Here is a 27,968-nt window from a genome sequence, read left to right as displayed (position 1 = left end):
GAACAACAAATTTTATTCAAATTAATTTTTTTTTTTTTTTGGGAGACAGGGTCATCCAAGCTAGAGAGCAGTGGCGCAGTCTCCGCTCACTGCAATGCCTCCCGGGCTCAAGTAATCCTCCCAATTCAGCCTCCCAAGTAGCCGGGACTGTAGGTGTGTGTCACCACACCTGGCTAATTTTTGTATTTTTAGTAAAAACAGGGTTTCACCATGTTGTCCAGGCTGGTCTTGAACTCCTGAGCTCAACTGATCTGCCCACCTCAGCCTCCCAAAGTGCTGGGATTATAGGCGTGAGCCACTGTATTTGGCCTTAATTTTTATTTTAAAAATTACCCCCACAGTTGAGGGTGAGGGAGACAGTGCCCTGGGGTAATTAGTCATCTTTCATGTGCCTAGTCCTGGTTACCTCGTAAGTAGGACCGATAACAATACATACCGCATGTTGTTAAAAGAATCAAAGGAGATAATCCATGTGCAGAAAGTACCATTGTGTCCGACAATACATGCTGAATGAGTAAGCTACTATTAATTTAACTAATTTAAATAACCCCCATGAAGTGAATGGCTACCACATTAGAGCAGAACTAAAATTTTGCAGTTACTTATTCATTCGTTGACTGGTTTATTGTCTGTCTCCTCGACCAGCCCAGAAGATCCATGAAGGCAGGACTGTATCCCGATCGCCACTGTGACACCTAGACAGTGCTTGGAGCGCACTCGGGCATCTAAAAATGTTGGTTGAACAAATATATCAACATCAAAAGCAAAATAAACACATTAGTAGGAAAGGAGTGCATAAAAGTATGGCTGTCCAAGGCAAACAAAATGCAAACAGGATTGCCAATGTAAATCTCAGCAGAATTCAAGGCTAAACTCTTCAGAAGAAGATTCCCTTTAAACGAAACACCATATGACCTACAGAAGATCTAAGGTGTGAATCTTTATACACCAAATAACAAAGCACGCAAAGTAAACCCATGGTAGTGGTAAACTTCAATTTTCTTCTCTTCCAAGCACAGAGAGAAGGCAATAACGAATATATTAATCAATACATTCACACATTCAAGCATCCTAAATAAAACTAATGAAGTCAAAGTAACAGACGTATCTATCAAACTCTACACCCTACAAACAGTGACCACCCTTACTCAGTGGGAGGCTGCATAGGATGGTGTCTAACACTCTAGAATTCAAAGTCTTGGACCTAGCTCTGGCCCACCATTGGAGGTGAGGGAGACAGTACCCTGGGATAATTACTCATCTTTCATGAGCCTGGTTTCATGTTGTTCTAAGAATCAGGAGATAATCCACATGCAGAAATTACCACTGTGTCCTGACAATTTGTGCTGACTGAGCAAACTACTAGTACTACATTATTATCAATACTTGACTACATTCATGGCATACATTTAAAATGATTTTATATTGGACCACAAAGATAAATTATTAGAATTCCCTAGGGCAGAAATTATAAAGGACTCATTTTGATGTAGCAAAAGGAAAAAAGTAAAAATAACAAATACAAACCAAAAAACCTAAACACGTGTGGAGTTAAAAGCACTTCTCCTGGGCATGGTGGCTCACGCCTGTAATCCCAACACTTTGGGAGGCCAGGGCAGGCTGATTACTTGAGGTCAGAAGTTCAAAACCAGCCTGGCCAACATGGTGAAATGCCATCTCTACTAAAAAATACAAAAATTAGTCAGGCGTGGTGGTGGGCGCCTGTAATCCCAGCTACTTGGGAGGCTGAGGCAGGAGAATCGCTTGAACCCAGGAGGCGGAGGTTTCAGTGAGCCGAGATCGTGCCACTGCACTCCAGCCTGGGCAACAGAGCGAGACTCCGTCTCAAAAATAAATAAATAAATAAAATAAAGCACTTCTAAACCTTATACATCATATTAAAAAATAAAAACTTTGGCCGGGTACAGTGGTTCACACCTGTAATCCCCAGCACTTTAGGAGGACAAGATGGAAGGATCACTAAGGCCAGGAGTTCAAGACCAGCCTGGCCAACAAAGTGAGACCCTGTCTCTAAAAAAAAAAAAAAAAAAAAAAAAATTTAATTTAGCCAGGCATGGTGGCATGTACCTGTAGTCCCATTCCAGTCTGGGGAACACAGTGAGACCCTATTTTTTTTAGAGTGAGTCTCTAAAAATAATAATAATAAAAAATACATAAAAGAAACAAAAGGAAAAATAAAAGGGAAAGGGAAAGAAATAAAGCATCCCTAAATCACAATCGTGTAAGTAACACAGATGCAAACTTATGAGATATTCTCTGTCTTTAATGATTGCACACTGAACACTTGACACTCACTTTTCTGAACCCTCTAGAGTCTCTAAAATACAAGCTCTTTTTATTAAATGATAATTGGAAACAAAAAGGAGGGCTAAAAGTGGACTAGAAAGTTTGAGAAAATCTCAGATGACATGCACAAATAGAATTAAGACTGACAGAGAATCAACAAAGGAATCCCCTGTCTAAGAACCACAGGTAGACAGACGTTCCCAAGGAAGCCTCAGGGACTTGGAATAAACTAAGACAAAAAGAAAGAATGAGCCACAGGACAATAATCAGATTAAACAACTGCACAAGGAAAAATTGTGTCCTTGTACAAGGAACAGCAGAGCCAATCAGGTCCTGTCTCTTTTCCATCTCCCTTCCCTGGTACACAGAATAAACCCTGCAGCCCTGGCCTCCTGGGTAAATGTGGAAAATCATTCCTACAGTGAGCAATCCACCTTGCTCACTGGATGGATGGATGTGGGAAGCAGCAACTGTGGTCCTCCAGATACCGAAGCGGGGAAGGGAATAAATGAGGAAAGCCAGTTCCACTGCAAAGAAAAACCCACCCTGGCAATTGCAGAGGCCTCCAGCCTGCCTACTGATCTTCAGCCAGCTGGAATCCCAAATTAAAGTCAACCAGTCAACAGGCCTCACCTACCCACATACCAGCCCTTTCTTTAAAGGAGAAGCTATTGGAGAAAGAGACTTAGGCAAGAATAAAGGAAACTCCTATTGCCAACTTCTATACCAATCAATTTAATCATTTATTCATAATATAAATGAAGAACCAGAGATCACCAGGCATTTGAGAAATAAACAGCATTAAAAAGCAGGACCATGATGAAAAAGAAGTGACCTGCAAGTTCAAGAGATAAGAATACAATGTTCATAATCCTAATTTTGTTCCCTTTTTTTCAAAGTCCAGGTTCCAGGCTTATATTATATAATCCTAATGTTTAGCCTTAAATATTAATAACAATATTTAATTCTAAATTCTGCTCCAAGATGAGGATTTTTATAATCCTAATATTTATCCTCAAATTCAAAAGTATATTATACACCAAATATAGGCAGCTAGGAAAAAGGACCAATCAGAGAAAAAGAAAATGAACAAAAACTTTCAAATATGATTGTTGAAATTAAAAAATTAACTGGAAATCCTAAATAATAAAATGAGTGGGGATAAATATCAAGTTTGAGAGCTCAAAGATAAAGTCAAGGAAGAGCAATAAAAGAAGAAAGTTTGCATGGACACAAAGAGGGAACAATCGACACGGGGGCCTATTTAGGGTGGAGGGTGGGAGGAGGGAGAGGATCAGAAAAAATAACAATTGGTCCTTACCAAGCTTAGTGCCTGGGTGACCAAATAATTCATACAACAAACCCCCATAACATGAGTTCACCTATATAACAAACCTGCATGTGTACCCCTGAACCTAAAATAAAAGTTTAACAAAGAGACTTTGGCAGTTCTTCAAAAGGTTCAACACAGAGTTACCATTTTATCCAGCAATCTCACCACTGTAGGAGAAATAAAAACGTATATGTTCACACAAAACCCTGTGGACAAATGTTCAGAGCACCATTATTCATAATAGCCAAATGTGGAAACAACCCCAAATGTCCATCAAGACCACATAAGCAAAATGTGGAATAGCCATACAAAGATTATTCAGCTAGAAAAAGAATGAAGTACTCACACATTCCACCATACGGAGGAACCTTGAAAACATTATGCTAAATGACAGAAGCTAGACACAAAAGGCCACACACTGTATGATTCCATTTATATGAAATATCAAGAATAGCAAATCAGCTGACAAGAAGTAGATTAGTTGTTGCCAGGGGTTGGAGAAGAATGGGTACTGGGTTTCACTGGGTGAGAAAACTGTTCTGAAATTAGATAGTGGCGATGGTTGAACAGTTTTCAATATACTGACACCTACTGAACTGTACACATTAAAATGGTGAATTTTATGGTATGTGAATTATATCTCAATAAACAAGAGCAAGTGAGAAAGCAAAAGAAAATTTGAAAGAAGAGTCAAGAGACACAAACTCCCACACCCATCCTGTAGGGGTTTCAGGAACAGAAAAAGGGTGAAATAGAGAGGAAGAAATCTAGGAAGTAATATAATAGCTAAAGGAGGGGTGAGGAGGCTGGGCATTGTGGCTCACACCTGTAATCCCAGCACTTTGGGAAGCCAAGGCGGGAGGATCACATGAGGTCAGGAGTTCGAGACCAGCCTGGCCAACATGGTGAAAACCCATCTCTGAACTAAAAATACAAAAATAAGCTGGGCATGGTGGCGTACACCTGTAATCCCAGCTACTTATGAGGCTAAGGCAGGAGAACTGCTTGAACCCGGGAGGCGGAGGTTGCAGTGAGCCAAGATTGCGCCACTGCACTCCAGCCTGGGCAACAGAGCAAGACTCTATCTCAAAATAAATGGAAAGAAAAGAAGGGAAGGAAGGGACGGGAGGGGGGAAGGAAGGGATGGGAGGGAGGGAGAGAGAGAGGAAGGGAAGAAGGAAGGAAGGAATTAAGGAAGGAAGGAAGGAAAGAAGGAAGGAAGGAAGGAAGGCAGGCAGGCAGAAGCAAATTAGTAAAAAGAGATGGCAGGCAGGCAGGCTGAAGCAAATTAGTAAAATGAAATTCCTAGAGACAATCTAGTAAAATTTACAGGCCTGGAATAAAAAGAAAAGCTAACTCAAACAAGACCTACAAAATAGGGAGGAAAAAAGAAGGTAAGGTTGACTCCCAAGTCCTACAGAGCTACAGTTAGTAAAGAGAAGACAGCTCAAACTCCAAAGCATGGCACAGAGGTAAGCCACTGAGAGGCCTTCTTGAAAACAAAACAAAACAAAAAATCTACCAGCTGGGTGCGGTGGCTCACACCTATAATCCCAGCACTTTGGGGGGCCAAAGCGGGTGGATCACCTGAGGTCAGGAGTTCAAGACCATCTGGCCAACACGGTGAAACCTCGTCTCTACAAAAATACAAAAATTGCTGGGCATGATGGCAGGTGCCTGTAATCCCAGCTACTTGGGAGGCTGAGATGGAATGATCGCTTGAACCTGGGAGGCAGAGGTTGCAGTGAGCCGAGATCACGCCACTGCACTCCAGCGTGGGCGACAGAGCGAGACTCAATCTCAAAAAAAAAAAAAAAAAATTGGCAAATGACTTGACTAGACCTTTCTCCAAGGAAGATATACAAATAGCCAACAATCACAAAAAAAGATGTTCAACATCACTAGTCACAAAATACAAATCAAACCCATGAGATACTAACTTCACACCCATCAGGTGTGAAAACACTAATGTTCATAGCAGCATTGTTCACAATAGCCAAAAGATATAAACAAGCCAGTGCCCAACAACAGATGAAAAGATAAACTGTGGTATATTACATACAAAGGGATATTATTCAGCCTTAAAAAGGAATGAAATGCTGACACATGTTAGTTACAACATGGATAAACCTTGCAAATGAAACCAGCCCAATTGTCCTATAGAACTGATGTTTACAGTCTTTTAAAATAAAGATAGAAATTGACCCTCCCAGTCTTAAAACTTGAGAAAATTACATTTGTCTTATCTGAGTTCCTTTCTTGGGAAACCAACCATCAGGCCTCCCAGATAGTTATCAAGGAACTGAAACTTACCAGATCACCACATCTGGACCATAAGACACCAGACCACCTCACCCATCACAATTGCCTAACCAACTACCTGCTTCCTGTCGACCAACTCCTCTCCCTCACCCTTCCCTAACTCCTGTTTTCCCATACGTGGTTACATTTCTTCCCTGCTAAATAAACCCGTGGTTTTAGTCAGTCGAGGAGACAAATTTGAGATTGATCTCCCATCTCCTTAGCTGCAGCACCCAATTGAAGCCTTCTTCCCTAGCAACACTCATCGTCTCCGTGATTGGCTTTCTGCGCTGTGAGCAACAGGACCTAGACCAAACCCCTCGATGTTTCAGTAGCAATATGAGGTACTCACCATAAGCAAATTTACCAAGATAGAATAAGTAGAGTATAGGTTACCAGGACTGGGGAAGGGAAAGGAAAGGGGAAGTTATGTTTAACGGGTAAAGAGCTTCTGTTCAAGATGACGAAAAAGTTCTGGAAATGAATAGTGGTGATGGTTACACAACAATGGGAATGAACTAAATGTCACTGTACACATAAAAATAGCTAAAATGGAACATTTTAAATTATGTGTAATTTACAAGTAACACATTTTAAAGTTACAGTATTACACTATTACTATATATGAATTATACCTCATAAAGTTGATTGGCAAGGATAAAAGGATATACAATTTGATAAATACTCAACGTTGGAAGTTCTAACAAAAGGCATTTTAAACACATTGACTGGGATTATCTATTGATACAATGTTTTTTAAAGAGTATTTCAGCAATTTTTCAGAAGTCACAAAGATATTTACTGCCTTCTACCCATTTGTTCTAGTTCTATGAATCTTTCCTAAAGGGAAAAAGAAAAAGCGGGCACGAAGATTTAATCTCAAAAATGTTCATCAAAATGTTGTTTACAACATTATAATACTATCCAAAAATAGTAAACAAAATGATCAGATATTCACAACATATAAAACGTTTACCTTAAGTATTATGTATTTTATTTTAAAATGTTGATAACATTTAAAATACATAATATATATGTTATGGGGGAAAACAAACATAAAAAACTATATCATGTGATTCTAATTTTTTATAAGCAAAACAAAACTAAGTATCTACTTCAATAATAATTATCTCCCAGACTAGGTTAAGGACCCTTTATCATATGCTATCAAGGTAATATAACCTGAGGTCAGAGAAAACCTCGCTGGAAGTGGCTTTGGATGGAGAAAGAGAATAAAAGAAGATTCCTACCAGAGAACTTGTCTACCTCAGTATCATTTTATTCAAATTAAAACTGTTTTACAATCAAACCTCAATTTTTAACAGTGGGGGAAAAAACAGTATGTGTTAATTTTAGTATCCAAGGGGATACTAGAACCATTCTCCTGGCTGATACAGAGGGATGACTGTTCTCGGAAATGATTTGGAATGTCTGTCTGAAAATGTCAGCAGGGAGCACCCCATTCAGGTATATAACACGTTTTAAATAAAAGTGTTTAAATACATATTTCATTGATTCATTTTTAATGAGCATACCATAAGCCTTCTCAAAGTATTAAATGCTCAACCATTACCTAAAAATCCTACTTTCTATTACCAGATTTTACTTTGCGAGAGTAACATTAGAAGACGTATAATAAGAATTACCCTTATTATTAAACATTTTCTAAACTCCTATTGTTTCACCCATATTTCACCAGCATAGAAGAATAATTATTATACCACTGCCACAATTCACAAAATCCTTTCACCTCCGTTTTTTCATGTGCCTGTCCTAACAATCATGAGATAAGCAAGCTTCATGATAATAACTACAACTTCTACAACCCCAACCCCACTGTCAATGAAATACCCACTAAGAATCAGGCACTATACGGCCAGGCACGGTGGCTCATGCCTGTAATCCCAGCACTTTGGGAGGCTGAGGTGGGCAGATCACGAGGTCAGGAGATCGAGACCACGGTGAAAAAAATTAGCCGGGCGGGCGCGGTGGCGGGCGCCTGTAGTCCCAGCTACTAAGGAGGCTGAGGCAGGAGAATGGCGTGAACCCGGGAGGCGGAGCTTGCAGTGAGCTGAGATCGCACCACTGCTCTCCAGCCTGGGTGACAGAGGGAGATGCCGACTCAGAAAAAAAAAAAAAGAAAGAAAGAAACAGGCACTATACCAGGTATCTCACATATTTACCACATTCAAAGTTGAATAATTACCAAAAATCTATGAAGTAGTTATCCCATCGCAATTTTACAGATGAGGAAACTGCGGCTCAGCAATTAAAGTAATTGGCCCAGAAAGCAGATCTTTGATCCACACCCAGGTCTGTCTGAATCCTAAACCTATGCCATTTCCTTGTCCCACCCACACTCCCCAGGAAACAGAGATTGAGAAAAAGATAATCATTTGGCCAAGTCTTATAGGCAACAGGAACCCAGAGCCTTCTAACACTTGATCTACGGTGCTTTCCACCTGGTATGTTGCTTCTATAAAAAGTAAGGACACTTCCTTCCATCGGGAGTTTATAAATCATAATTAATCTCATTAGATTATAAATAACATCATAGGGAAGCTATGTGCTACATAGGGACAGATAAGGGTGCCCAAGGGAAACTTTGAGGAAGTATAACTAAATTAATACACAGGGATCAGGGTTGAAGTATTTTATAACCAATACTCAAAACAGTAACAGTTAGCCTGGCGCAGTGGCTCACGTCTGTAATCCTAACACTTTGGGAGTCAGAGATGGGAGAATCACTTGAGCCCAGGAGTTGGAAACCAGCCTGGGCAACATAGTGAGAGACCTTGTCTCTACGAAAATAAAAAAACAACAACAGTTAATAAAGTTTCCAGGAGTAGCTTAGATAATCCCAGAATCGTATCTATATTAGGAGAAGGGCTATTTTTAAATATTCTAAAGTTTATAATTGGAATGCCCATAAAAATTGCCTATGAGTAGATTCATCATTACATCAGAAAAATTTATGATAATTACTTAGGACTCTGCTTTTGATAAATATGTATGCTGTAACTACTTAATAAAACCATGAGAAATAATTTTTAAAATGTAAATGTTACTTACATATCACAGTTTGCAGCTATCCACAAATGCTGGATTAGCAATTGGAACTAGAATAAAAAATGTAAATGTAAAAAAAGAAAAAATTAAAATATTTAAGTCATGAAACACAGAAAGTGACAGCAAAGTTAAAAACTCAGATCTTTATAAAAAGGAAATTTATACTGTACACCAAAAATGATATTTGCTAAATTACAAAGGCACTTGTATATGAATAAGATTAAAATAAAAACTAAGAACAGTACTTTTAGTTTCTCCTACCACTTTATATTCTCTAAATGACAGCCTTTACCTGATAGACACACGCCAACTATCAAAAAAAGCAATCTTAATACCATCCTGGAAGCAAGTGAACTTACATTTTTTTCAAGCCAATTCCCAAATGAGGGCCCACTACAGAAAACACCTCCGAACCACTGTAATTCCTTTCTGAGGATGACTCCAAACACTCTGCCAATCGATGCTAAACATGAGCCAAAAGAAACAAAAAAACTCTGACAAATTCCCATGAGCTTACCAATGGACCAAGATTGTCCAAAAAGTAATATTCCCAGAGGATAGGAAAAAAATATCTTAGAGGGTTGATGTCTGCCTTCAATGTCACAGCAGAAACCTTGCAGTTTACCAGATGACCCAGTAAAGGAACCAACACCCACAACCCGTTCCACATGGGCAGTTAATTCCAGTCACTGATGAGAAGGGAAAAGGTCTGTCTTATGATATCACATTTTTTTTTGTTTGTTTTTTGTTTTTATTTTTTGAGATGGGGTTTCGCTCTTTTTGCCCAGGCTGGGGTGCAATGGCATGATCACGGCTCACTGCGACTTCTGGCTCCTGGGTTCAAGTGATTCTCCTGTCTCAGCCTCCCAAGTAGCTACGATTACAGGAGTGCACCACCACGCCCTGCTAATTTTGTATTTTTAGTAGAGATGGGGTTTCGCCATGTTGGCCAGGCTGGTTTCAAACTGCTGACCTCAGGTGATCCACCTGCCTCGGCCTCCCAAAGTACTGAGATTACAGGCGTTCATTCCAGTCACTGATGAGAAGGTAAAAGGTCTGTCTTATGATATCACGCCCGGCCTGATTTCACATATTTTTTAAAAATCTTACAAGTTAACATAAAATGGAAACCTGAGTATTACAAACAACAACAACAACAAAAAGTTCAAAATCACCGTCTACTCTTATCTACTTTAAGACGTAAGGATTAAGCAGAGGATAATTTGCATAAACCTAAAATCGTGATAAATCAGTTTTTTCATGGTAGTTAAATCAAATTGCTATTTTAGCACTTGTTTGAGCCTCTATAAAAAACATAAATTTAAATGCATAAGTCATGTCACAGAGGCCTACCAGTGGGGAAAGGAGGAGCCTGGTGGCCACCTCCTGGTGACCAGCCACCACTCACAAACAGCAAAGGAGATTAAGCTTGGCTCAGGAGGTCCCCGAGCTCTTCTCACTGGAGTCGATCTGCGAGCACACTTGTTACAAAAAGTCATTCCAATCTTGGTCTTTCAGAAATTATAACTTATCCATTGCCAAGGAAAGAAAATAACAAAAGTATGATGATGAGAAAAACAACTGCTGGAAACATTACATGAGAAATAAACACAGAGTTACGACAGCTAAGATGAGGACAAAGAAAACATTACTCTGTCAACACCAAAAATACTCCAAAGATGACACTACTTCTATTTGTCCTTCTATATTCCTCATCTCTTTATCTATCCATGGAAACTTTTTAAACACTTCAATGGAAAACTATGCTTTCAAACCAAGCAGATGTCTAAAGCAGAATTGTCTCACAACCTAGATTATAACAAAATGCAAAGTTCAATACAACTGGAGTAAAAGACAAAAAAGCCTTTGTATAAATAAATCAACTCTCAGATATTGAGAAAAGCACAAACCACACAGTTATTAAAAAGTTCCAATGAAATTACTGTAAAAAAATAACGAGGATAACATGATAGCTAAAATCACCTGAAATTCCTACCTCCAAATCCCTATAAAAAAAGGGCAAAATCTAGGAAATGTGATACTCCCTAAAATTTTTTGCTAACATGTTTTTGCTGATCTCAATCTTTAGACAAAGAAATTGTAAATATAATTTCCTAAGTAACTCAAAGAAGAAAAAGGAAATAGTATTTCCCAATAATAATTCTCTAGGTTTGCATAAATAGACCTACTTGGCACTGAAAGCACTATTAATATTTTGCTTCACTTTGGTCTTTCAAAAACGTCCTTCTACACAGGTTTTTTTGGTTGTTTTTATCACTAATTAAGTTGACTGATATAAACCCTTAGCTGGTTTATTTAAACCTAAATATATTTTAAATTTACTTCAAATCATAGATTCTACTCTAGCCACAATGAATAATTTTCCCCAAATTGAGTTTAACAGCTTAAAATAAAATTTGTTAAAAAAAAAAAAGTTTAAGGTATGTAAAAATTTCTGACTTTCACCGTAAATAAGATTTTCATTAGCTCAACAGAAATGTAATAATTATCCCTTAAGTATCTCCACTCCCACACCATCTCCACAGTCATGAACCACCTAGTCCCGTTCTCAAATGTCCTGGTCCCGCCAATAGAATCCCAATCCTTCCTTGTTGTCCCCAACCCTGTGCACCTACACCTGCCATAAATGGTGGAAATTCAACCAGCTCTATGAACGGAAGGGAGGAGGCCCCCCACCCACTCTACAGGAAAACTTGCCCAGATCTACAGGAACCTCCCCACTCACAAGAGGACAGGGCAGCCCAGACTCAGCTGAGAAATGTCAACAGCTGGCACAAATGAATTACAGATTATTTACAATTCACATAACACTGACCCAAGAATATAACCAATTGTCAAGACAAAATAAATTTAGTTGTTCACATACAAATATTCCATTTGTGAATAAATTTCATATTCGTATCTGTATACAGACAGTCTACATGTTCGATAAGTCCTTTATGATCCTACCTGAAAATGCTGGTAGATGCAATATTTTTGCATCAAATTTAACCGATGGTGGTTGTTTCATTATCTGTGGTTAAAAAAAAAAAAAACTTTTGAGGCAATTTTAAAGATGGATATCTGTCTCCTTATATGTCCCTTATATCAGATAATAAATCAATGAGGACAAAAAAAGAATGTGTAAAATTTGTTACCAAAAACAAAAAGAACGATGCCTTTTCAGATTAAAACATACATATATAGATAATAATTTATTTTTTAAAATCATTTCAATTGATATCTGTAATAAAATAAAGCTTCAAAGAAAAAATTCACCCCATCCTGGCTTACTTTTTAGGTAATTTACGTCTAATTAGAAATTCAGTCTTTCAACAAATATCTATTGCTTACCTGCCAAGGTAAGGCTCTATGTCAAGTGCTAAGGGGGATACAAAGATATAAAAGACACAATCCTATTTTCAGCGAGCTGACTTTCTGGTTGGGAAGATGAGACAAACATTTGATAAACAAGAAAATATTTCACAATTCAAAAGAGGCAGGACATAACTACAGACAAAACCCTGGACAGAAAGAATTTTTTTTGTAAATAGTAGTTTAGAGAATACAGCAAGCACTTTACTTGATATAGTTGACACCGGGTTTACGGAAGAGGTAGAAGGTGGGTTGCGGTCTTGAAGGATGGCTAGAACTTTATGATTATATCAGAGAAGACACCATTCAAGGAAGCCATAATAGCATGAATTGGAAAGTGCATAATTTATTTCAGAAATGTGAAGAAACCATGTAGTTGGATCCATGAGCTTAGGACAGCCAGATACTGCATCTTGAGACTTTTAATTAAAAATTCAACCATCATTTCTATACCTAACTTCTGCAAAACTTCTATATGTAATATTTTTAAAACCTTTACTAATTAAGTAACCAGCATTACTGTACTTACTGTAGTATTCTTACTAAAATGCATATTCTCATTCTAATCTCATAATCCAAATTCATAATCTCATTCGAGTCATGAGAAACCCTTAGACAAACCTAAATTAAGGGACATTCTTCAAAACACCCAACCAGTTACTCTTCAAAGTGTCAAGGACTTGAGTCATACGTTTTATAACATGTATTACAAAAACATACAAAGGCCAGGTGCCGTGGCTCACGCCTGTAATCCCAGCACTTTGGGAGGCCTAGGCAGGTGGATCATGAGGTCAGGAGTTCAAGACCAGCCTGGCCAACATGGTAAAACCCCATCTCTACTAAAACTACAAAACTTAGCCAGGTGCAGTGGCAGGTGCCTGTAATCCTAGCTACTCATGAGGCTGAGGCAGGAGAATAGCTTGAACCCGGTCGGCAGAGGTTGCAGTGAGCTGAGATCGCGCCACTACACTCCAGCCTGGGTGACAAAAAACAAAACAAAACAAAATAAAAGACAAACTGTCAAGGTCATGAAAGACAAGCAAAGTCTGAGAAATTCTGACAAAACCGTGAAAAACTAGGACAGACTATATGAGACTAAGGAGGCATAACAACTAACTGTAATGTGGGATCCTGGAACAAAAAAAAAGAGGACATTAGAGGCAACCGGTAAAATTCAAATGCATTTGGTAGTTAGCAGCACTATTCTCATGTTTTATTTTTCCCTTTTCAGGAAGAATTCGAAAGGAGCAGTCAGGGTATTGCATGCCATCATTACACAGAGATATGAATCAAGTATCATGCAACTCCAACTACCACATTCTGCTGCCCTCCAAAAGGAGGCACAGGTAAGGATTATCCCGCCTGACTAACACTATACCAATGTTAATTCCCAGGTTTTGCTAACTATACTATAGACCTATAAGATGTGAACATTAAGAGCAGCTGGGCAAAAGCTATACAGGAGTTCTCAACTATTTTTTAATCTTTTCTCTAAAAGTAGTTTAGAATTAAAAGTTAAACACAAAAATTTCCACTGATGAAGGCTTCCCATAAACTATCAAATATGGTTATAAGAGGAAAAAAGGAAACACAGAATATTGTGTAAAGCAAGCTTGTCCAACCCGCAGCCCGTGGGCTGGATGCGGCCCAAGACGGCTTTGAATATGGCCCAACACAAATTCATAAACTCTCTTAAAACATTGTAAGAATTTTTTTGCAATTTTTTTTTATTGGTTTTTTAGTTCATCAGCTATTGTTAGTGTATTTTATGTGTGGCCCAAGACAATTCTTCTTCCAGTGTGGCCCAGGGAAGCCAAAAGACTGGACACCCCTGGGAAAGATATCACAAATTGTTCTAGAAAGCCCATTTTGAAAATGCGCCAATGCACATCAAACTTAGCATAATAAAGTTACACTGCCAGACATATGAACTCACAAAAAGAATTAGCTCCATTATGAAAAACAGCTAAATCATCTATATAAAATGCTGTCTATCTAGAAAATAAACATGAATCCAAAAACCCTTACATTGTTCTAAACCACACTAATGTTCCCAATGAGACAAGAAAAAAACAGTCATGAATTAATACAGAAAAAGATATTTAAAAAAGAAAAAGAAGGCCAGGTGTGGTGGCTCATGCCTGTAATCCCAGCACTTTGAGAGGCCGAGGTGGGTGGATCACAAGGTCAGGAGATCGAGACCATCCTGGCTTACATGGTGAAACCCTGTCTCTACTAAAAATACAAAAAATTAGCAGGGCGTGGTGGCGGGCACCTGTAGTCCCAGCTACTTGGGAGGCTGAGGCAGGAGAATGACATGAACCTGGGAGGCGGAGCTTGCAGTGAGCCAAAATCGCGTCATTGCACTCCAGCCTGTGTGACAGAGCAAGACTCTGTCTCAAAAAAATAAAAAATAAAAGTAAAACTAAAAAAAAGTAAAAGAAGCAGTAAAGTTAAAATAGAGAATAAGTAGTGGAATGTGAGTATGTTGGGGAGCTGGAAGTCAAGACAAAACAGAGGGACTTAGAAATGCATCTGTTTTTTAAAGTAAATACTCATTATCCCCCAGCAATAAAGTATTATATTCCAAAAGACAAGAAGCAAAAAAACTCACAGTGGTTTAGAAGTACATTGTGAACCATGACTCCTCAAGTTCCCATAGTGTCTCCCCACCATCTCCCCTGCAGTATTAACAACCTGTGACAGGGCAGGGCTTCCGTGTGATCTGCCTGCCCAGCCCAGCCTGGTGAGCAGTGCCCTCTGACTGCTTCTGCCTTCAAAACACATCAGAGACTAGAATACTTAGAGTGATTCACATTAGTGCAGATGGAGAAACGATGGGACTGAGAGCTAAGGTCTGAGGTCAAGAGGCTGGCAACCCCTCCGTGGCATGTGGAAGAAAGCAGTAGTGAGAAGCAGAGCTGACTCATTCAAAACAGAGGGGGGAAAACTTAGAACTCCAGTGAAGCGGAAGTGAAGGCAGAGGAAAGGGTTGCAGACAGAGCGGGAGCTGGAAATGCAGACATGCAGCACAAATGAAAGAGTAGCGGACAAGAGAAACAGGAAAGATTAGACAGTAAATAATATTCTGAATGAAAATCTTATGCAGATTTCAGATCTCAGTAAAGTCTACAACTCACTTGTCAGAGTGCTTTCTGCACCTTTGGATTGTCAATAATGGGGGTGACAACAAGATCTGAGTCGTGTAGATAAGCTCTCTCATCTGGGATTCCAGGTCCTGCTGACTCAGGTGTCCACTTGTAATCTGAAATGAGAACAAAAATTTGACTTTGTTTCTGTGACTAATATAGAGCTTTAAAACACTGAACTAATATGATGCTGAGGAAGACACCACTGTAAAATATCACCTATATCAATGTACTTCCACTGCTATTCAAGACACTTGCAGTCTCACTTGATTTTCACAAAAATCCTAAACTGTAGGTACCATAATTTCCATTTTACAGATAAAAATATAAAACTCTGAGAAAGTAACTGAATTGCTCATGTTACCATTAAAACTGGCTAGGACTACAAAAAAGATCTTTACAATTCAACGTTCTAAACTCTGATGAGGCAAACTGCTTTTTTGATTACCAGCATGGTTTTTTTTGGTTTTTTTTTTTTTTTAGGGATGGAGTCTCAGTCTGTCACATAGGCTGGAGGGCAGTGGTGCAACCCTGGCTCACTGCAACCTCTGCCTCCTGGGTTCAAGTGATTCTCCTGCCTCAGCCTCCCAAGTAGTGGAATTACGGGTGTGCACCACCATGCCCAGCTAATTTTTTTTTTTTTTTTTTTTTTTTTTTTGAGACAGAGTCTTGCTCTGTCACCAGGCTAGAGTGCAGTGGCGCGATCTCAGCTCACCACAACCTCTGTCTCCTGGGTTAAAGTCATTCTCCTGCCTCAGCCTCTCCAGTAGCTGGGACAAGGTTTCACCATGTTGGCCAGGCTGGTCTCAAACTCCTGGCCTCAGGTGATCCACCTGCCTCGGCCTCCCAAAGTGCTGGGATTATAGGTGTGAGCCACTGCACCCGACCCATGGCTTTATTTTTCATTCATAGAATGCTGATCAATTTATTTCTGCTTTACAGAATATTCAATGTGAAGTTGAAACTGTAACATACAAAAATTTTCAGACTTAAATACAGACCGGTTACCTAAGTGTTAAACCTCAATTATTTATTAAGCCTCATTAGAGATGATACATAATAAAATCAATCACCAGACATTCACCATCAGTTATTCCTTTGAGATGGTTCTTTGTGCTCTATTTAAACATAATTTGTATTCCTAGTGCTATGCCCCAGTATTTCCCATCAGAAAAAAAAAAAAGGATTTATGCTTAAGAACCTTAAAAGAAACAATGACTAGCAAACTAAATAAAATAGAAAAGTAAATCAGTGAAGTAAGGAAGAAGGAAAATAAATTATCCAAAACTAGTGAGGAAGGGTCATAGATAAAGGAACAGAGTTAGCTAAGAAAATTCCTGGAAACCCAAGGTGCCCCTTGCAACTCAGATGAAAGATATACGAAAACACACAAAGAGGCCGAGGCCGGGCACGGTGGCTCAAGCCTGTAATCCCAGCAATTTGGGAGGCCGAGGCGGGTGGATCACGAGGTCAGGAGTTCAAGACCAGCCTGACCAACATGGTGAAACACTGTCTCTACTAAAAATACAAAAATTAGCTGGGTGTGGTGGCATGTGCCTGTAATCCCAGCTACTCAGGAGGCTGAGGCAGGAGAATCACCTGAACCTGGGAGGCGGAGGTTGCAGTGAGTTGAGATTGTGCCACTGCACCAATTAAAACAATTGTATGCAAAAATTAGTTTCCTATAGGTAAATTGAGTGTAGGCACAAATGCCAAGTTATAACAAATATCCCACTCACAATAGCAAAAATATATAAAACAAAATGTTCAGGAATAAACTAAATGATCAATAATTGCAATGAGATCATGATCATTAAATGAAAATAATCGTTATAAAATTATACTCTCTTGCTTCAAAGTGAACACATTATGTATAAAACCAGAAGTAGTAATATCAAAATGTATGAGATGTATGAGGTTACAGTGAACTATGATGGTGCCACTGCACTCCAGCCTGAGCAACAGGCTCTAAAAAAAAAAAAAAAAGGTAATCAGTGTTTACTTGGGAATTACATTGTAAATAATTTTTCTATTGTCTTTGTCCTCTTTTATATTTTACAAGTTTTTTACAATTATATATGTTTTGTAATAGAATAAAAAGTATCATTTAAAAATTATAAAACATAAGGCCAACACAGTGGCTCACACCTGTAATCCCAGCTCTTTGGGAGGCCGAGGCGGGCAGATCACTTGAGTCCAGGAGTTTCAGACCAGCCTGGACAACATGGGGAAACCTCTACTAAAAATACAAAAAATTAGCCATGCATGGTGGCGCACACCTGTAGTCGCAGCTACTCAGGTGGCTGCGATGAGATGAGATAAGCACCTAAGCCCAAGAAGTTGAGGCTGCAATGAGCCATGATCGTGCCACTCCACTCCACCCTGGGTGACAGGAGTGAGGCTCTGTCTCAAAAATAAATAAATACCGAGATATATATGTAAAATAAACTACCTTAGGTATTCACATTATTGATTATATTTTCTCAATAGAATGATTATATATTCCTCTTTATAACCATCTGCCAGAAGAGCTTCAACATCTATCGCATTTCAGAATGAATTTTTTTTTTTTTTTTTTTTTGAGACGGAGTCTAACTCTGTCGCCCAGGCTGGAGTGCAGTGGTGCGATCTCAGCTCACCGCAACCTCCGCCTCCCAGGTTCACACCATTCTCCTGCCTCAGCCTCTCAAGTAGCTGGGACTACAGGTGCCCACCACCACACCCGGCTAATTTTTTGTATTTTTAGTACAGATGGGCTTTCACTGTGTTAGCCAAGATGGTCTTGATCTCCTGACCTTGTGATCTGCCCTCCTCAGCCTCCCACAGTGCTTGGATTACAGGTGTGAGCCACTGCGCCCGGCCCAGAATAAATTTTTAAATTTACATTGATTTTCTATTTCACATAACCAAAAAATTAGCACAGTCAGATTTTATTATAACCAGTTTATACTAAATTTCAAAGCAGAAATAAGCTTCACAAGGTCCAAATACAGTTCACATTACATCAAAACTACAGTTAAAAACTAAAAGCAATTATATTTGTCAACCAATAAGTAGCATAAAAATTACTTAGAATTAATTCAAAGTAGGTCTGCATTCAACACAACTACGATTGAAAGAAATTAAAGGAAGACCTAATTAAGTACAAATACATCCTGTGTTCGTGGAGGAAAACTTAATATTGTTAAAATGGCAGTACTTTCTAAGTTGATCTACATATTCAATGCGACTGTGATTAAAATCCCAGCTGGCTCCTTTGCAGAAACTGACAAGCTGATCTTAAAATTCATATGGAAATGCAAGTGACCCAGAACAGCCAAACCCACCTTAAAAAACTTTCTGGAGGATTCATACTTTCTGATTTCAAAGCTTACTAAACAGCTACAGTAATCAAGAGTGTGCTACTGGTATAAGGACAGATGAACAGAGAAAAGAATAGAATCCAGAAATAAACTTTCACATATACAGTCAATTGATCTTCAATAAGCGTTCCAAGACAATTCAATGGGGAAAGAATAAGCTTTTCAACAGATAGTTCTGAGATAACTGGATGTCTAGGTGCAAAACAATGAAGCTATACCCCCCTACTTCATGCCGCATGCAAAAATTAATTCAAATGGATAAAAGAGCTCAATATAAGAGATATTGATAAACTATAAAACTCATAGAAAAAAACATAGGCAGAAACCTTTGTGACCTTGGAGTAGCAACGTTTTTTTAGATATTACACCAAAAGCACAAGGAGCAAAAAAACACAAATGAAAAAAGATAAATTGGACTATATCAAAATTTAAAATCTTTCTGCTTCAAAGGACACCATCAAGAAAGAAAAAAGACAATCCAGAAAAAGGAAGAAAGTTGTTATAACTCCTATCTAGAATATGTAAAAAATTCTTACAGCTAAATAATAAAGAGATACATAACCCAATTAAAAATAAGTTAAATTTTGGAATAAGTATTTCCCCAAAAAAAACAGACAAATGGCCAATAAACACATGAAAAGATACTCAACATCATTTGCCATCAGGTAAATGCAAATCAAAACCACTAAGACATAGAAATTCACACCTACTAGCTGGGCGCAGTGGCTCACACATGTAATCCAAATACTTTGGGAGGCGGAGACAGGTGGATCATTTCAGGTCAGGAGTTCGAGACCAGCCTGGCCAACATGGTGAAACCCCGTCTCTACTAAAAATACAAAAATTAGCCAGCTGGTAGTGGTGCATGCCTATAATCCCAGCTACTCGGAAGGCTGAGGCAGAAGAATTGCTTGAGCCTGGGAGATGGAGGTTGCAGTGAGCCAAGATCATGCCACTGCACTCCAGACTGGGCGACAGAGTCAGACCCTGTCTCAATCAATCACTCAATCAATGGAATTTCACACCTGCTAGATGTGAAATAGGATGGCGATCATGAGAAAGACAGGCAATGCAAACCTATTCACAATAGCCAATAGGTGGATGCAACCCAAGTATTCATCAACAGAGGAAAAGATAAAAAGGCATATTAAATACATACAAGGGAATATTATTCAGCCTTAAAAACAAATGAAATTCTGGCACATGCTACAACATGGATGAACGTTAAAGACATTATGCTAAGTGAAATAAGCCAGGCACAAAAGGACAACTACTATATGAGACCACTTATGCCAGCAGTCCCCAAACTTTTTGGCATCAGGAGCCAGTTTTGCAGAAGACAATTTTTCCACAGACAAGGTTGGGGAAGATGATTTTGGGATGATTCAAGGACATTACATTTATTGTGCATTTTATTTCTATTATTATTACATTGTAACATATAATGAAATAATTGTACAACTCACTATAATATAGAATCAGGGCTGGGCACGGTGGCTCACGCCTGTAATCCCAGCACTTTGGGAGGCCAAGGTGGCCAGATCATGAGGTCAGGAGATCGAGACCATCCTGGCTAACACGGTGAAACCCCGTCTCTACTAAAAAATACAAAAAATTGTTGGGGCGTGGTGGCTGGCGCCTGTAGTCCCAGCTACTCAGGAGGCTGAGGCAGGAGAATGGCGTGAACCTGGGAGGCGGAGCTTGCAGTGAGCCCAGATTGCACCACTGCACTCCAGCCTGGGTAACAGAGCGAGACTCCCTCTCAAAATAAATAAATAAATAAATAAATAAAAAATAAAAAAACTACAAATGATAAGCAACATAGAATAGATATGTAAGGAAAGGCTTTAAAAAGGAAAATAAGATCAATATAAACTAAGAAAGAATTATTACAGAACAAAGAGATTCTAGGGAGAAGACAAAAGAGTATCAAAATCACTTCGTAAAGATACTTGTGAATATATTACATGTATAAAACAAAACAGAGGCCGGGCGCGGTGGCTGACGCCTGTAATCCCAGCACTTTGGGAGGCTGAGGCGGGTGGATCATGAGGTCAGGAGATCAAGACCATGCTGGCTAACATGGTGAAACCGCGTCTCTACTAAAAAATCCGTCTCTACTAAAAACACAAAAGTTAGACAGGCGTGGTGGCGGGCGCCTGTAATCTCAGCTACTCGGGAGGCTGACGCAGGAGAATCGCTTTAACCAGTGGACTGTCAAGAGAGGTAGGCTGCAGTAAGCCGAGATCGCGCCACTGCACTCCAGCCTGGGCGACAGAGTGAGTGAGACTCTGTCTCAACAAAAAGAAAAAAAGAAAGAAAACTTTTTTTTGAGAGAGAGAGAGAGAAGTCTCGCTCTTCTCCCCCAGGTTTGAGTGCAATGGCTCGATCTCAGCTCACTGTAACCTCCGCCTCCCGGGTTCAAACGATTCTCCTGCCTCTGCCTCCCAAATAGCTGGGATTAAGTCGCCTGCCAACACGACCGGCTAATTTTTCTATTTTTTAGTAGAGACGGGTTTCACCATGTTGGCCAGGCTGGTCTCCAACTCCTGACCTCAAGTGATCAGCCCGGTTGGCCTCCCAAAATGCTGGGATTACAGGCGTGAGCCACTACGCCCGGCCAAAAAACCGAAAATCTTAAAGGCCTTTCCCCTTCCCCGCCTGGGCTCCAACAACGCGGGAGCCGCCCTGCCCCGCCCTGTCGCGGTCCCTAGAGCAGGTGGGCTGACTGAGGGCGACCATGGGTCCCAAGAGGGCTCCCGCAGCCGCGGGCTCCCACCTCGAGGCGCAGCGACAGGGGCCGAGAGGGGCCAGCAGCCCCCAAGCCAGCCCCGCGCTAGGAGTTGGAGAGACGCGCCCTCCGCCTTCTCCCACCCAAGCCTCTGCCTTGCCGGGCGGGCCAGTTGCGGGAGAAAGGGGCGGGGAACCGCGGCCTCTCTGGGGCAGCTTCCCCTTTCTCCTGGGACTCTGGGCACCCGCTTTCCGCCCTCGCCCTGCCCCGCCAGGCCGCCACCCGGCGACTCACCTTAATGTTGCGGTGGGGCGTGAGCCGCGGCTGTGGCTCCTGGTTCTCCTGGAAGATAGAAGCCAGTAACTTCGGTTTGGCCTTGAACCCGGACATGGACATCTTCCCCTCACCTCCGGCGGGAGGGGCGCGGAAAAGGAGCCTGTCCCGAGCCGCTGTCATGGCCGCGACCACCAGGCGGGGCCCCCGGCCGAGCTCTCGCGGCTCCACCTCTCCCCGCCGCCGTGACCCTCGTGGGAGCGCGGCTGGAAAATGGCAAGGGGCACCGAGGACTTGGCGGGAGCTATGTGGCGGCCTGCGGGGCTGCTCCCTTTATAACCGACTCCACCGACAGGAGGCGCGGCTCCCGTCAAGCCGCAGTTTAAAAGGGCAACAGCACCACTGCCCCCGCTACCGCCTGGGAAAGGGCTGCCCCTACCCCGCCCCGGTCCTCGTCGCCCCTCACCTCTTACCCCTCACCCCTCACCCCTCAACCCGGCGCGCCCCGCGCGCACCCGGCGTGCCCGCGCTACCGGCTGCCCCCTCCTCTCTTGACCCAGCACCTTTCTGCCCGACCGATCTGGTCCCTTCCTCACACTCGCGACTGGGCGGCACAACCACCAACTCTGTGTGTGTGTGTGTGTGTGTGTGTGTGTGTGTGTGTGTGTGTGTGTGTGTCTATGTGTGTGTGTGTGTGTCCCTGTCCCAAGGGGGCGTGGCTCACGCCTGTAATCCCACCACTTTGGGAGGCTAAGGCGGGTGGATCAGGAGGTCAGGAGATAAGACTATCCTGGCTAACACGGTAAAACCCCGTCTCTACGGAAAAAATACAAAAAATTAGCAGGGCGTGGTGGCGGACGCCTGTAGTCCCAGCTACTTGGGAGGCTGAGGGAGGAGAATGGCGTGAAACCGGGAGGCAGAGCTTGCAGTGAGCTGAGAGCGCGCCACTGCACTCCAGCCTGGGCGACAGACCAAGACTCCATATAAAAAAAAAAAAAGAAAAAAAACCTCAAAGGATCACTAGTGGTCAGCAACTATGTGCAAATAAATAGGAAAACCTACCAAAAATGGATAAATTTCCAGACACATCTAACCTACCAAGATTGAACCATGATGAAACCCAAAACCTGAACAAACCAATAACAAATAATGGGATCAAAGTGGTAATAAAAAGTCTCCCAGCAAAGAAAAGCCTGGGACCTGATGATTCACTGCTGAATTCTAGCAAACATTTAAAGAAGAACTAATACCAACCTTACCCAAACGATTCCAAAAATAGAGAAGGAGGGAATACTTGCAAACTCATTCTACAGGGCTAGCATTACCCTGATAACAAAATCAAACACACAGACCAAAAAAGAAAACTACAGGCCAATATCACTGATGAATATTGATGCAAAAATCCTCAATAAAATATTAGCTAACTGAATTCCACAACACATTAAAGTTGGGGTGCAGTGTCCCAGGTTCACTCAACCCTTCCCGTTTTCCTCTCTGTGTGTGTCTACTTTGCCGTGTTCCCTGGTGGCGGCGGCGGTGGCAGTGTTGGTGCATGGGCCTCCCAGGACAAGGGGAAAGTGAGTATGCCCCTTTCTTGCCCCCTGCCAGGCGTCTGCAGCCTGGCACAAGCTCTGGCCAGGTCTCCAACAGGGGACCTGGAGATGTTTTTTTCCAGTTTCTGGATTGGTAACTTGAGGCAGATTCTGGGCACTAGAGTCAGAACTAAGAGGAGACTGAATCAGGGGAGTCTGGGGTCCTGAGAGGCAGATACCTGAAACCGTCTAGAGCGTGTGGGGAGCTCGGTGCATGTTCACGCCAGTTGTTTTTCTCTGTGCCTCAATGTTCCAGGTACCCTTGGAGGTGCTGAGATCCTAGGGATTCCTGGAGCCTGGCTGCATGGCCTGGCCACCCTGATGCCACTGTGTTCTCCATGACAGGACAGCAAGGCTGAGGAGAATGGCTCCGACAGCTTCATGCACTCCATGGACCCATAGCTGGAGCGGCAAATGGAAACCACCCAGAACCTTGTGGACTCCTACATGGCCATTGTCAACAAGACCGTGTGGGACCTCATGGTTGGTGTCATGCCCAAGACCATCATGCACGTCATGATCAACAACGTGCATGCACCGCCTCATAGGGGCAGGGGGCTCCTGTAGCACTGGGGATGCAGGTGGCCATGTTGGCCTGGGGGAGATGCTGACCAGCCCTATGGGACCAAGGTCCAGGGAGGGAGGCACAGTCCAGACCAGAGCTGTCTCATAGAAATATAACGTGGGACTGGGGACAGTGGCCCATGTCTGTAATCCCAGCACTTTGGGAGGCCAAGGCAAGAGGATAGCTTGAGCCCAGGAGTTCGAGACCAGCTTGGGCAACATAGTGAGACCTGATCTCTACACTAAAATTTTAAAAATAGCTGGGCTTGGTGGTGGCACGTACCTATAGTCCTAGCTACTCGACAGGCTGACATTGGAGGATCACTTTGAGCCCAAGAAGTTGAGGCTACAGTGAGTGGTGATCTCGCCCACTGTCCTCCAGCCTAGCGACAGAGCAAGATCCTATCTCCAAAAAACATTTTTAAGAAACTGAGTAGACCGGTGTCCTGGTGGCATGATAGGTCCTGGGTCCCCTCCCAGATGTGTGACCTTGGACAGGTGACTTTTCCTTTGGACCTCAGTGTCCCTATCTGAGTGAGAAAAGGGCGGTGGGGAGGCAGATCTTTGAGTCTAAGCGGTGTAGAAGCCGCGTCTGAAAAGCCATACTCAGGGCTCCAAGTCCAGCACACAGTCCCAGCAGGGCCCGGCAGGAGGCCAGGGCAGCAAAGGCATCAGGTCCCAACCTCCTTCCCTCTTTGCCCGCTCTCAGACCAAGGAGTTCATCTTCTCGGAGCTGCTGTCCAACCTGTACTCACGTGGGGACCAGAAAACGCTGATGGAAGAGTCGGCAGAGCAGGCACAGTGGCGCGACGAGATGCTGCGCATGTACCACGTGCTGAAGGAGGCACTCGGCATCATCGGCGACATCAACACGACCACCATCAGCACGCACATGGGGGCCCGTGGACAACTCCTGCCTGCAGGTGCAGAGCGTCCTTGCCGGATGCAGGTACCAAGGCTGGCTCCCACGGCCCCAAAGCCCCCCAGCCCCCATGGCTGAGCCTGGGGACTCTTGGAACAGGCTCCGTGCCCACGCTGGTAGACATGGGTGCTCCCTGGAGCCGTCACAGAGCTCATGGTTTATGGTGTAAGGGCTGAGAGCTTAGAGGGGGTGGTGTGTGGGGCTGTACTCTGAGGCGGCCAGAGTCCTAGGATAGTCCTCCTGTGCACACCGCACCTGTTGGGCAGTCTGAGTCATGCTGCCAGGGCAGGGCATCCAGCTCCCAGCCTGGGAGTGCTGAGAGCCAAATCCACTGCAGAGCAGGGGTGATAGTCAGAGTCCCACCTCCTCTATCTGTCGGCAATGCAGTGGTGAGATAGGATAAAACCTTGAGAGTCCCATACACACGGTCAACCCACAACACACCTCACAGGCCAGGCAGGAAACACAGGCCCCTTCCCTCCCTCCCAGGTACCATCATAGCTGCTAGCGTGTGACTGAAGGCAGGGTCCCTGGCCCCCGCTGAAGCACTATTGCTGGCCAGCAGGCTCACGCACCTTGGAGTGTTGCTCCTAGAGGTCACCTCTGCTATTCAGCCAAGGGGACCACAGTGCCTGCTGGCCCAGCTGACCTCCGCCCCACAAGCCCACCCACCTCCCCTGCCATAGACTCTCCCTCTTCTGCTTTTCCCAGCAGGAAGGGCCCAGCCTCACCTATCCGACCTGCAACCCCCAACAAGCTGAGGCTCCCCTCTTAGACTTATAAGTCTATAGCCAGTGGCATCCAGCTGCATGCCCTCCTTTCCTCCCCCAGGGACCCTTCAAGGGTTCCTGGGCTTTCTGACCCCCCAGAGGGGGCTCCGGCGATCACTCCACCCATCCATCCCTTTTAGCTTCATCATCCTGGTTCAAGCAGTGTTTCTTCTCTATCAGGCCTGGTGGCTGTTGTTTTGGGCTCCCCAAGGCGAGAGGCGGCCCTGGACAAGTGGGTTGGAAGACACGGTGACCAGAGAAGAGGGAAGCCCAAAGGGGCTGAGCATCAGTCTTAACAGTGGGTGCACTGGGTGCCGTGGAAGAGGCCAGCACGTGTGGGGTGGGGAGGGCTGCCACAGCCCCCAGGCACTACCTGTGAAACTCCGGCTCCTCCCTCTGTCTTCCTCCCCTTTCCCTTCCAGCCCCTCTTTTCCAGGAACCTTGCCACACCCGCACGTGCACCCTTTACTCCTTGGCCCTCCCACAGCTGCTGTGGCACACCTGTGCTCTGCACTTGCCTCACCAGCTCTCTGCTCGCTTTTTTTTTTTATTATTATTATTATGCTTTAAGTTTTAGGGTACATGTGACAATGTGCAGGTTAGTTACATATGTATACATGTGCCATGCTGGTGCGCTGCACCCACTAAATCGTCATCTAGCATTGGGTATATCTCCCAATGCTATCCCTCCCCCCTCCCCCCACCCCACAACAGTCCCCAGAGTGTGATGTTCCCCTTCCTGTGTCCATGTGTTCTCATTGTTCAATTCCCACCTATGAGTGAGAATATGCGGTGTTTGGTTTTTTGTTCTTGCGATAGTTAACTGAGAATGATGATTTCCAATTTCATCCATGTCCCTGCAAAGGACATGAACTCATCATTTTTTATGGCTGCATAGTATTCCATGGTGTATATGTGCCACATTTTCTTAATCCAGTCTATCATTGTTGGACATTTGGGTTGGTTCCAAGTCTTTGCTATTGTGAATAATGCCGCAATAAACATACGTGTGCATGTGTCTTTATAGCAGCATGATTTATAGTCCTTTGGGTACATACCCAGTAATGGGATGGCTGGGTCAAATGGTATTTCTAGTTCTAGATCCCTGAGGAATCGCCACACTGACTTCCACAATGGTTGAACTAGTTTACAGTCCCACCAACAGTGTAAAAGTGTTCCGATTTCTCCACATCCTCTCCAGCACCTGTTGTTTCCTGACTTTTAATGATTGCCATTCTAACTGGTGTGAGATGATATGCTCGCTTTTCTCTCTCCTGTCTTCTCTCTGCTTTCTCTCCAACTGCCAGCCAATCGGCTCAGGCAAGTCCATCCCATCCTGAGAGCCCCAGGCCCCCCTTTGAACTCTAAACAGATTCCTCCTCTTCTCAGAGACTTCCCTTTCCAAGCCTGCCTGGGCGGCTGTTCTGTGACTTGGCAGTGGCTCCCCCAGCCCCAAAGCCAGCCCCCCTTCATCTGTGACTTAGTCTATTGTTGCAGTGAGCTGACACATCCAGGTGTGACCGTTGCTGAAAACTTGTGCCCCCCTCTGTGGTATGCCCCTGCCCTGTTCTAGAAATATCTACAAATACCCATATACATATACACACACACACACACACACACACACACACATACACCTACATGTGGCCAACCGCCTCGCCTCTAGCGCTGGGAATCAGTCACCGTGCTGTCCTTTTGGAGTCTTGTGGCCAAACAAGAGAAAGCTAACCCCTGACATTGCCCCTCCAAAGTGCGCTACCTTCAGTGAGCCTCCCTGTCACGCCCAGCCTATGGAGAGACACACCCCGCCATCCCTCCCGCCCCCCCCCGCCTCCACCAAGCATGGGAGTGCTGTGCAGGCAGCTGAGTGGCCTGACAGTCTCTACCAGTCCTGCTGTCCCTTGGCTGAGAATCAAACCCCCTTCTGGATGGCGGGGAAGTGTGTCCTCTGCTGGCTGTGTTCTCTGTGGAGCTCAGGGGAGGGGAAAGGCCAAGCCATTTCTAGGGTGCTGTTGGGAGCAGTGAAAAGGCCATGCCCTTTCCAAGGGACACTTCCTGGAAAGCCCCTGGAGCTTAGCGGGCTCTTATCCTGTGAAGCCGGCTCTGGCCACCAGGGGGCAGGGCCATGAACTCAGCCCAGAGGGAGCCTGCAGGGCAGCCGGCACTCTGGAGGCACAGACAGAACAGGCCACCAGGTGCAGACAGGAGAGGGAGACAAGG

The 27,968-nt window shown here is 43.2% G+C and overlaps 1 long non-coding RNA gene, 1 other non-coding gene and 2 pseudogenes across 6 annotated transcripts in view, besides 2 other annotated features; 2 read left to right on the top strand and 2 right to left on the bottom strand.

Annotated features, from left to right (window-relative positions):
• ARHGAP11B-DT (ARHGAP11B divergent transcript) overlaps window positions 1-3,743 on the top strand; it is a 34,584-nt gene extending 30,841 nt beyond the window's left edge. For all 3 annotated transcript variants that reach the window (NR_157595.1, NR_157594.1, NR_157593.1), the window contains one exon: window positions 646-3,743. This is a non-coding gene — a long non-coding RNA (ARHGAP11B divergent transcript). The remainder of the gene's footprint in view (window positions 1-645) is intronic.
• Window positions 1-22,383, bottom strand: part of ULK4P2 (ULK4 pseudogene 2) — a 28,154-nt pseudogene extending 5,771 nt beyond the window's left edge. Inside the window, exons 1-3 of the transcript NR_027470.1 lie at window positions 22,367-22,383; window positions 21,922-21,969; window positions 15,526-15,650 (exon numbers count right to left, since the gene is read on the bottom strand). The product of NR_027470.1 is annotated as a ULK4 pseudogene 2 (transcript). The remainder of the gene's footprint in view (window positions 1-15,525; window positions 15,651-21,921; window positions 21,970-22,366) is intronic.
• Window positions 1-27,968: part of a non allelic homologous recombination region, noted in NCBI's record as "15q13.2-13.3 gamma inversion proximal recombination region, recombines with the 15q13.2-13.3 gamma inversion distal recombination region", that runs on past both edges of the window. NCBI's record gives the evidence for it as "EXISTENCE:nucleotide sequencing assay evidence [ECO:0000219][PMID:25326701]".
• Window positions 13,622-13,754, bottom strand: LOC124900358 (U8 small nucleolar RNA). Its single transcript, XR_007064810.1, has one exon. It is a non-coding gene; the product is annotated as a U8 small nucleolar RNA (small nucleolar RNA).
• Window positions 23,217-26,340, top strand: DNM1P50 (dynamin 1 pseudogene 50; annotated as a pseudogene). Its single transcript, NR_145478.1, has 4 exons — window positions 23,217-23,477; window positions 23,838-23,975; window positions 24,766-25,005; window positions 25,929-26,340. The product of NR_145478.1 is annotated as a dynamin 1 pseudogene 50 (transcript).
• Window positions 27,301-27,478: a silencer, noted in NCBI's record as "fragment chr15:30859663-30859840 (GRCh37/hg19 assembly coordinates)". NCBI's record gives its function as "represses an EF-1alpha promoter that drives an FKBP-Casp9 reporter gene in an ReSE screen in HepG2 liver carcinoma cells {active_cell/tissue: HepG2}" and the evidence as "EXISTENCE:reporter gene assay evidence [ECO:0000049][PMID:32094911]".

This window comes from Homo sapiens, chromosome 15 (genome assembly GCF_000001405.40).
Source record: "Homo sapiens chromosome 15, GRCh38.p14 Primary Assembly".
NCBI lineage: Eukaryota > Metazoa > Chordata > Mammalia > Primates > Hominidae > Homo > Homo sapiens.
This window is presented reverse-complemented; position numbering and strand designations above follow the sequence as displayed.